The sequence below is a fragment of the Homo sapiens genome, chromosome 8 (genome assembly GCF_000001405.40).
Source record: "Homo sapiens chromosome 8, GRCh38.p14 Primary Assembly".
Taxonomy (NCBI): Eukaryota; Metazoa; Chordata; class Mammalia; order Primates; family Hominidae; genus Homo; species Homo sapiens.
The window spans coordinates 139,206,124-139,217,172 of record NC_000008.11 but is presented as its reverse complement, the minus strand read 5'-3'; the positions used below and the strand labels follow the sequence as shown (position 1 = coordinate 139,217,172).

Sequence of the window (11,049 nt, the reverse complement as noted above, 5' to 3'; positions counted from 1 at the left end):
AAGCAATTGCCTGTTGAGTGTGCCTCTTTCTCAGGAGAGCTAGTTCACCGCCCGGCAGGCAGGAAGCCTCGCGAGGGAGCATTCACCTTGATTAATGCACCAGCATCCAGGGGCTTGCAGGCTCGGAAAGATGATTTCAACAGCCCCCGGGGGTGTTGGCTTCGCTTAGAGGGCGCTCACATTAGCTAATCGCGCAGGAGTGGATAAAGTGAACCAAACGCCACTTTATTAAATTACAATGAGAAGTAGTTCTGCCACACTGGTAGATGTATATTCATGTGTCAATCCCATTCTCTCCCTGTTAAGCAGACCTATCAGAAATACCTGGAACCTTTGAATAATTCAGGAAAATAGTCAGAGCTATGCACACAAATATTTACATGTGCAAATGTTACAGTGTAATTTGTGATAGAAACAAAACAATTAAACACCCTGCAGTGAGGGGATCAGTTGAATAAATTATGGTAGAGCCAAATAATGAACTAGCAGGCAATGATTTAGAATTATATTGATAATTAATGTGCAAAATACAGGCAATATATTCATTTAACAAAGCAGATTGAAAAAGTATGTCATCATTGAATGTGTGTGCACAAAGAGGAGAGAGGCTAGAGTAAAACATTACATTTTTGACATTTATCCCACAGTGATCGTCCTTGTATTTGCTTGAATTTTCCATTTACTCCTAAGGAACATTTACCATGTTTACATTTAAAGTATGTTTATATGTATGCTTACATATCACATATCAACATATGACATGGCTGTAGAAGAAGTTTCAGACAGCAGAGTATCCTAGCAGAAACCTTTTGGAGTCAGGCAGATCTGTCTGAAATCAAGACTGCCAATTTCTAGCTTTTAGAGCTTAGGTTTTAAAAAAAGATAATTTACCTTTCTTTGCATTTGTTTATTCAAAATGGGGATAAATGGGAACTACCTTATATGATTTTTGTGAGCTAAAATGTAAAGCATTTAGCATATCATGAGTGCTCAAATGAGGGAACTATTTTTATTATTGTGAAAGGAGAAGATGACTCAGTTTTCTTCCATACAGGGGCTCTTGCAGATGTGATTTTGTGACTCAGAGCAGAGGCTGCTGATTGGATGGTTCGAAATTTTCCTGGCTTCAGGGCATGCAGCTGCGAGTGTCCTTGGGGTGAAGGCAGCTGGGCCCAGGGCAGCTCTTGCTGGGCACCGCCAAAGTTGGCCTTGATGACCTTCCTTTCTTTCTGTTCTCCATGGACTGACCTGTCCTGCTCCAGTGTGTCTGTGTTTTTGTATGTTAATGACGTTAGTCTGGGCAAGGATGGTCATAGGTCATCCCTTCTCCTTAGGAAGAACAGGGACGTCTCTGCTCATCCTCTTTTGTCTCTCTGATGACCTCAGAATTAATTTATGACCACAAAGCACAGACAGGTATAAATACGGCGCCTCCTATGAACCCCCTGCACACACAGCATGTGTCTTGCTTCCAGTACTGATAGACGACAAGGACAACAACACAGGTTCTGGAACTTCTAAGCCCAGGCCTCACTGACACTCTTGCAGTTGGGTTTTTTGTTTTTGTTTTTTTTTTAAAGCAATGTTTAAATTCAAGCTCTGCCTAGTCTTTCTAGCTGTATGATTTGGGGTGAGTCACTTCCTCTCTCTGGGCCTCTGCCAATTTCAGATCTCCCACCTGAAAGGGCCTTTATGCCTCATCATGTCCAACCTCCTCATTTTTTTTTTCTGGTGAACAAACAATCACTCCACCCCCATCCCAAACACTCTGTGGCCTCATTGATCAGCCTTGGCTCACCCTCACCCCCTTCTCCAGAACAGTGGAGGCTTGGAGTCACAGAAGAGAGGACCTTAGGAAGGAGGAGGGAGCTGATGACTCATGGAGGGGATTTGACAGCCGCCTCCTTTGCGGAACCAGGAAATTCATTAGGATGGAGTCTCATGCCCCGAGGAATTGCATTTCTGATTTTAGTTTTCCGTTATCGACCTTTATTTTGCTAATTACAGCTATGGCTATGATGTGTTGGGTCCCTGTTATAAGCAAGTGCAAGGTATACGAACGTTTTCTATCTAATTCTTATGTCAATGTTTCAAGGACATTAATGTTATCCCTATTTCCAAGATGAGGATATTGCATATTAGAGATTAGATTTAGAGATGACTGGCTGTCAGACCGCTAATAGTGAGCTGTATAATAAAATTGGTGATTACTAAAACAGGAATAAGGTGGAAAGCTTATTAAATCTCACTTTCTCTTTTACAAGTGAGGAGAATGAGGCTTAGAGATGATGGGGAGAAGGTCCAAGTTCACACGGCTGAATGGTATTTCAAGGACTCAGACCTCCCTGTCTCTTCCACGGCCTTCATGCAGCCTCTCCTTGCATCCACCGTTAGCTCTAAGATATTGCTCGATGTCTGTGTCACTGGGCTGCCTCTGCTAGGTTCATTTTGGAAACGAGCCCTCTCTCCAGTATTTAGAGATGTCCATGGATTCAGGCATATCCATCCACAGTCGTAAGTCCTTTTGGAGAAAATCTGACTCAGCGTTTTAATACAAGATAAAAGAGTATCCCCAAAGAGCCACCTGCAGCCTGATCAAGAGTGGCAAGAGGAGGGCATAGATCCAGATGGCCTTGGTGAGAGAGAGGAACTGAGAACAGTACTAAATAGTCTGCCATTCTGTATTATCCTGGTAATTTTGGTCACCTCATTACCTGTCTTTCGGAATCACTGTCTTCTTGGTTCCTGAATAGTGTGCTTAGAACAATCCTGGGGTGATATTTACCATAGTTCAGGGTCAGACTCCATATCAAATTATATTGCATGTATAGTCAGAGTGTGTGAGTATACAGTAGGTGCTTAATAATTACTTGTTGAATAAATGAGCAAAAGAATGAGAGTCTGACTTTCATATATCCAGGTCGTGGACTCAAAGTGATCAGAGAACCAGAATGGCTCAATTCAGCAGAAGGACCACAGACTGATGCCAAGCAGATGTGACTTCACATGCTGGGGTTGACAGACTGATGCCAAACAGACGTGACTTCACATGCTGGTGTTGACGTGTATTCATGACATTTGAGACTCAGTTCTCTTTTTTCTAAAAGAGGATGACAAGTTCTTACCTGTGTGGTTGTTGGGAGGATTAAAATTTTGGGCCTAGTGCCTAACAAAGTACTGAGCAAATGTTAGCTATTGCTGATGCTGTTCTACTGTAACTGTGAGTTTTAACTTATGAAGATGATGGCAATGATAAAGTCTGGCCAATAGTCCTGGGCAGAGTGGGCCAAGTCCATCAGACCGGCAAAGGCTGGGGCCAGGGATGCAAGGAGCTCCAGCGGACCCTTTCCAGGAGTTTAGCCTTCGATTCTAGGAAATGCAATAAAGTAAGCCCAGGACAGATGCTGGCGTCGGGCTGCCGTAGGGTGAGCAGACGAGTCATCCTGGCTTAGAGGGATGTGGAGGGTGGATTCCACTGGGCTATAAAATCTATGAGTAGAAAGAGGCGTGGGCTGGTTTTGTTGCCTTTTCTAAATTGTGCTGTTTGCACTGAGTTCTGTTTCAGTGAATCCTGAGAGAGCCTCTGTCTAGAGACCAGAGTGAGACGATGGAGGAGGTGGGAGGTAGAGGCCCCGCGGCCGCCTCTTCCTGGGCCTGCAGCGCCCTCTTGTGGCTCAGAGCCAGAGCATCCACTCCAGGATTCTGCAGGTGCTGCTGCAGAAGGGGTGCTCCTGGGCTTCCCACCCTCCTAGGGGCTGTGCTGTGTGGCTTCTCTTTGGAACCCGGAGCCCTGAGAGAGAAGGAAGAGGAGGGAAGACCTCCCGTCGTGTTCCAAGATGGGCGCCTGTGATGGACCTCAGGTGTGCTAACTGGCCAGATGACCTGCAATTATCTGCCTAGGCTCTTTGAGCCTGGGTCCTCATAGCTGTGTTATGAGATGAAAGAAGGCAGACAGTGTACCTGGAAGCACCTTGTTTTCTGACACCCAGTAGTTTCACATTAAAAATTAGTTATCTTGCCTTCAATATTTTCCTTTCTCTGCTAGATAAAATTGCTAAAATCCAGAGAAGTGAGCCTTCTGTTCTTTTAATAGATGCTAGTCCAGTGCTAAAGGGTGATGCATTCACCAATCTCTAAAACCTGTGTCCTAGATTCAAATTTGTCTATCTTTCTGTTTGACCTGGGAAGTTACCTAAACCCTTTGTGACTCAGTGTCCTCATTGGTAAAGTTAGAATAATACGATCTGTCTTGCAGACACCTTATGAGAATTATGTTAGTATTTGGGAAGAGTTTGAATACTACGTGGAGCTAGTATTTTTGATGTCTTCTCATTATAGTCTCATCACCATCCTTGTTGTAGTTAGTGCTGTGTGAGAGAGGGGGAGAACCTTCTAGTGGAGACTAGGAAGGGCCTGGAGATACGATGATGTTAGATCCCGAGCAGTTCCAATTTCCTTGGAGTAGAAAGCAGATAATGTTATGAGGCAAAACTGAGGAAGGGTCTCGGTACTCATGGAGTTTGGATTTTATCCTAGAGGGACCTTGAAGACTTATAAGGGAAGATGTGGGGACAAGCGTCATGTCCCACAAAAACAAGCTTATGTCTGTGGTCGAAAACTCGTAGGTTTGGTTGGGGGATGCCATTACTAAGAAATTATTTCTTCAGTATTTCAGAATGCATATGGTGACAAATAAAAGTTCATATAGATTTTATGCTCCAACGTCATGCTTGTGACACTGGAGGATTTCAGCAGGCAAATAAAAGAAATTCAGCTGAGTCCTATTGAGTTATAGTTGACTCAGCAGCAGACAATTTCAGATTGCACAACTAGGAATCCATTGTCTTGTATGGTTTTCTTCCATTTTCACCAGAGCCATAAACCTGATAGGGGATGAGCATAGTGAGAGAAGTCTGAGCTGAAAAAGTAGCCAAGGCTGTTCTGTGTCCCACAGGGTGCTGCTTCCCTATGGCTATTCTGGATGCTCCCAAACAGAATGTCAGCTACCCTCTGCAGCACAGATGGTACCTGTGCATTCAGCAGAGAACCAGATGCTCTGTGCAGTGGCTCACTAGGCAGGTGAGCAAGTCAGGAGCCAATGAGATGCTAGAGAAAGCAAGCCCAAGACCCACATAAAGGAAAGTATTACAACACACTGGTTTCTATCAATCAACTGAGGGTATGCGGTGGCTCCCGACAGGGCCTCGAAGAAGTACTGTTCTAAGTATTTGTTCTAAATGCAGGCCCATTGACGCCCCTTTAAAACTTCCTTGTCTGATTCCCAAGAGTTGTTCAATGTCTTCAAGTCAGAGGCAAGCAGAGCCTTCCCACTCTTCCCTGGACCTTGAGGCAGGTGACCTTTCAGAGATTGTGTGACTCCAGTAAAGCCATTGGCATAAATATTGAGAAGCCTCGGGTTCCCATCTGGCTTAGCCCTGCCAAAAAACCCCATTCCTCACAGTGAGCCAGGGACCTGCATTTCCCATGGTGCCCAGTGCCTTTGTTAGTTTTATTTTCCATGCTAAGTGGTTGTAGCAGGAAGGCAAAAGCGATTTATAATCTCCAGACATATTACTGATTGGAGAGATACTTATTGAATATCCACTGTGTGTCAAACTGTTGTTACATGCTGCATGGGAAGATAAGTTCTATTAATTATTTGGTATAAAAAAATCTCCATGCTCTGCACCTGAGGCTACAAACAGTAAAAAGGAACTGGTCTTCATTCTTGCCTGGAAAGACCTCCTCCTGGTCTAGTAGAGGGAATATACAGTGACCAGATAACTGTAATTAAATGAATGTAACAGTGTAGGTGCCCTCTGTATTATCTAGGCTACCTCTATGGAAGCCCAAAGGCAACTAAGTCCCCTTGGAGAAGAGGATGCAGGTACAGAATGCTTCTTGAAAGAGGCAACATTTGAGCTCAGAATTTAATTCAGGGTTTCTCAATCTCAGTGGTATTGACATTTTTGGCTGGATAATTCTTTGCTATGGGGGCTGTCCTGTGCTTCCTTGGCCTCTACCAAATTGTGAAAATCAAAAGTGTCTCCATACACTGCCAAATATCCTTGGAGGCAGGGCAAAAGTCCCAGTCCCTCACTCGAGAACCACTGATTTAGCTCAAGGAAGGCTGGTGGGAAACTGTCTGGAGAACTTGAGAACCTTGGCTTCAGTTGCAGGTAGTAAGGCGCTCCGTCAGGCCTTTTCCAGAAGAACTGTGCTTTAGAAAGGTCATCCCATTGCTGTGTGACAGACAGGGCAGAGGCAGTAGCTAGTGGCATTGTCTCCATGCCACTCGCCTTCTAATTAGACAGGAGACCTTGGGCCAGCCACCGGTCTGATCCTGCTCCAGGCAGCCTACTTACAAAACAGCTGCCGTGATGCCTCTGGTCTTCCTGCAGGCCCTACGGGGAGAGATGTGATCTATGATAATAACTTCTCCTCCTATAGGGAGAACAGCCCATGAGCTAAGGGACTTTGAATCAGAACCTGGATCTTTCTGATGTTTTTCAGTGTGAGGCTACTCGAAATTCTGAGATTCAAAGATGTTTTGGAGCCAGAAGTAGACAGGGGAGGTCATCTGGTCCATGATTAGTGGGTGAGTCTGATAAGTAAATATTTTCCTCCAAGATCCTCTGTACTTCCACAGTGAATGGGTGGGCTCCATACACTGTTAGAGGATTTATCCTTTGCTGGGTGATGGTACAGGTGAAATAGATGGTGTGGAGTGGACAACAGGCACATTGTATTCCACTCATTCTTTCTGAATGCAGACAATGGAGGCAGTATCAATAACAGGACAAAGACTCATGGGCCACAAGGAATTGGTTGGCCAACACAGTCCACCTTCCACTTTTTTTTTTTTGAGACAGAGTTTTACTCTTGTTGCCCAGGCTGGAGTGCAACGGCATGATCTCGGCTCACTGCAACCTCTGCCTCCCAGGTTCTAGCAATTCTCCTGTCTCAACCTTCCAAGTAACTGGGATTACAGGTGCCCACAATCATGCCCAGCTAGTGTTTGTATTTTTTAGTAGAGATAGGGTTTCACCATGTTGGCCAGGCTGGTCCTGAACTCCTGATCTCAAGTAATCCTCCTGCCTCAGCCTCCCAAAGTGCTGGGATTACAGGCGTGAGCCACTGCGCCCAGCCCACCTTCCACTCTTAATCACTGCACTGGCCAACACAGGCTTTTTCTCCTTCCTCTGAGACATTTTCTAGTTCTGAAGAAGTTATTCACCTGTGAAGTCAGTTTTGAAATAAAACCATGGTTCTTAACTAAAGCATCAAAATCACCTAGAGCACTTGTTTAACACACAGATTGCTGGGCTCCAGCCCCAGAATTTCATGCCAGGTGATGTTGACGCTGCTGGTCTGGGTATTTTAAGCAGCCTGTTTAGTGTATCATGCGGCATCTGCCTCTGAAAGTATAGATAATATGGTGTGTGGGCAAATACTTCTTGGAAGTTTCATACATACCACTTACCCCAATCCTGGTTGCTCACGGCTGGCACCCCCATCTCCTATTCTTAGCCTGTGCATTAATGTGCATTATTTATGGTTATAGAGTTGGATAACTGAGTGACTTCTATTTTTACAATAATTAAAGGGTTTGGGAGAAAATGAGTTTAGCTGTTTATGTGCCCTCAAACAGCCTTGTAGGTTAGGGCCAAAATGATGAGAGAACAAATAAAGGTGCTGTCGGCTTTGTCCATGGTGCTGAAGGACACACTGGAGAAGGTCCGAGTTCATAGGATTGCATAGCCCCAGACAGAGCTGGGATAGGAGTCTGTACTTTTCCTCCAGCTCCAACATGCAGGTGCTTGAAAAGTCTAATGGACCAAGGAGAGAAAAGAGGAAAGGGATTCGGCATATACCCCAGGATGCAGCAGGCTCAGTTTTTCAGCTTCAAAGCCAATGTACGCAATGAAAAAAAAAAAAAAGTGCAGGACAGAGATGACCCAGAGCTCCCAGGACTGAGGCTAGCACATGGTCATTGGCCATTGCTCCCTACTGTGGAGGTCCCTCTGCTTCTGTCATTGTTGTCAGATTGCTGAACTGGGAAGGAAAGATATTCAATCCTGTGGACTCTGAACACAATAGGTCTGTTCAAACCTAACTGGGTTATCTGTAAAACCATGACCCAACCTCATAATCCTTGGCTTCCTTGGCAATTATGACAGTCCCTGTCTCTGAGAGTTAAAGTGAGGATTAAACAATACAAAGGACTGTAACATGTGAAAATACTCAGGAAACCGTAGCTGTATTTCCTGTTACTCCAATGAACTACTAAAAGTTTCATGCACAAAGTGGCATCCTCTGCACCTTCTGAGTCAATGCCTTATTCCCAGAGGTTGTTCCACAGCCAACAGTGTCAAAGCTCTTAGAGTCACCCTAAATGATTTCTCTTTAATGACCACAACTTCTTGATATAGTATAGAGCTTCTCTCAAACTACAATATGTATTCAGATCACATTTGTATCTCATTAAAGTGCCTTTGCTAAAGTATGGTCCACGGATCAGGAGCATTGGCATCACCTGAGTGTTAAAAATACAGAATCTTGGGTTACACCCCAGACCATATAAAATTAGAATCCCTCAACATGTGATTTGTATGCACATTAAAGAATGCAAAGCACTGGCCCAGAGAATACTGTCAGATACTATGCTGCTGTTGGGATGTTTAATCATTCTTTGGTTCATGCTTTGTCGTATCTTCTTTCCTCTATGATCTTTTACTTTCTAATAGAAAATTCTAGCTATTTGCCCTTACCATCAGGAATAAGTGCTAAGACATGTATTTAATCCTTGTAGCAACTCCATGAGGTAGATGTTGCATTCTATAGAAGAGCAAATTGAGGATTAGTAAACTATATGACCTTGTACAAGCAAGATTAATTTTCAAATGGCAGGGCCAGGATTTGACCCCAGACCTTTCCTGCTGCCAATGATGTGCATTCATGCTTTGTTACACAGCACATACCAAGTGAAGGGCCTTAACCTCTGTACAGATAACCACCCAGATGGCCTACTTTGTATCTTCTTCCAAACAGAAAAAACAAATTCTAGCATAATAATTACATACTAACAATCTCTGAACATTCAGTTATGAGAACTGATGTCTAACTGAAGGAGACTGATATGGTTTGGCCATGTCCCCACCCAAATTTCCTCTTGAATTCCCACATGTTGTGGGAGGGACTCTGTGGGAGGTAATTGAATCATGGGGGCAGGTCTTTCCTGTGCTGTTTTTGTGATAGTGAATAAGTCTCACAAGATATGATGGCTTTATAAGGCAGAGTTTCCCTGCACAAGCTCTCTCTCTTTGCCTGCTGCCATCCACGTAAGATGCAACTTGCTCCTCCTTGCCTTCTGCCATGCTTGTGAGGCCTCCCCAGCCACGTAGAACTGTAAGTCCATGTCCACTAAACCGCTTTCTTGTATAAATTGCCCAGTCTCAGGTATGTCTTTATCAGTAGCATGAAAATGGATTAATACAGAAACCAAGTCTCCACCTAGCTCTTCTCTCTTGCCTGGGATGTATCTGTGGGCATAGATAGTCCGTGGAACCCCAGGTACTGAGAAGTGGGGTGAATGGTGAAGTTCTTGATCTGAGCCCTCCATGGGGCAGGGAGAGCATTTAGATGGGATCTCAGAATGAGAGGGCATCTGGAAAGGTCAGCAGTATGGACAGGAAGGCAGCGAAGTTCTAAACATGGACCATAGCTGGCTGTGAGACACTGGTGAAGAGGCTATGAGCATCTCTCTGCCTTTCTAAGACATTTCTCTGATCCCTTCACTCTCTGGTTTACAATCCTTCAAAGGCTTCTCATTCCCAAATGGCTAAAATCCATCTCCCTTGCCTGATGTCTGAATGTCACTTGCCTCTCCAAATCCTTCCTACCCTGTCCTTTGACATCAGCTGTACAGAGCCCTAGTGGCCGCCAAAGGTGCCCAGCTATTCCTCACCTTTGCTCATAGTGCCTTGGACACCTCTCTCAACCTTGGCTTCCTGCCCAACTTGTTTGCACGTGCACCACCTCCTCTGGGAGCCCTGTCCTCTGTACTCTCAGCATACCCTGCCCATGTGTCTATTGCCATCACTGCACACAGGATTACATATACATCCACATATTACAGATATGGGCTCCTCACTAGACTGAGCTCCTTGAAGACAAGCACAGCAGAGCCAAAAACAGCGGATATGGCACATGCTTCTTTTTGTTGATATACAATTTCAGAAGAATTGGGAATAAATTCTATTCATTTTCAGGAGAATAAACAGACTCAAAAGAGAAGTCTGACTTCTCCCAGATTATCCAGGTCTGAGCTGGGACTGAACCCAGTCCTCCCAGCTTCAGAAGTGATATAGTCACTGGTTCCATGTGTAGCTGCCCATTAAAGCTGATAGACTTTGTCCCATACCCTCATGAATTTGCTCTGTCCATGACCTGCTGGATGGACATGGGCCTCATGGGATGGAGTAGGATGGGCCTGGGAATCTGCATTTTCAGGTTGCCGTGAATCAACTTCCATGTGATTTTGCCAGGTTAACACTATGTCAGGTTAGAAAACTTTGGGTTATGCCATTGTTCATTGTTTATAATCATTTCAGATCCTGATGTTGAGTTCAATTAGAGAACATGGATAGCAAACCATTGGGGTGATCCATAGAGTAATGTTGATATTAGTTGTCCCTGAGGTGATATTAACACATAAACATCTTGGTCAGGTGGACTATTCTTGAGAACACAGTTTGGATGAGGGTAGGAAGAAATTCCTCTAAGTATCGATATCTCATTATGTCTTGAACACTGAATTTTGGAAGTCTTGTGTTTACCTGAAGAGCAGGACTGGCTAGTCATGTAAAAGATTCAAAATGAGATGTCATATTCTGAAAACAATAGAATTAAGCTACAAATCAATAACAGGTCTAGAATATTTTTATATGTTTGGAGGCTAAAAAAAAATCTAAACAACCCATGAGTCTAAAAATAACTGAAAAAGGATATTTAAAAATAGAAACTGAATGAAAATGAAAACACAGCATA

At 44.1% G+C, this 11,049-nt stretch overlaps 3 annotated features.

The window, feature by feature from the left end:
- Positions 1,000 to 2,199: an enhancer, noted in NCBI's record as "CDK7 strongly-dependent group 2 enhancer chr8:140227217-140228416 (GRCh37/hg19 assembly coordinates)". NCBI's record gives its function as "activates an origin of replication core promoter dependent on BRD2, BRD4, P300/CBP, MED14 and CDK7 cofactors, with strong dependence on CDK7, by STARR-seq in HCT116 cells {active_cell/tissue: HCT116}" and the evidence as "EXISTENCE:reporter gene assay evidence [ECO:0000049][PMID:35650434]".
- Positions 1,469 to 1,608: an enhancer, noted in NCBI's record as "active region_28025". NCBI's record gives its function as "activates an Ori minimal core promoter by ATAC-STARR-seq in GM12878 lymphoblastoid cells {active_cell/tissue: GM12878}" and the evidence as "EXISTENCE:reporter gene assay evidence [ECO:0000049][PMID:35858748]".
- Positions 7,652 to 7,836: a silencer, noted in NCBI's record as "fragment chr8:140221580-140221764 (GRCh37/hg19 assembly coordinates)". NCBI's record gives its function as "represses an EF-1alpha promoter that drives an FKBP-Casp9 reporter gene in an ReSE screen in K562 erythroleukemia cells {active_cell/tissue: K562}" and the evidence as "EXISTENCE:reporter gene assay evidence [ECO:0000049][PMID:32094911]".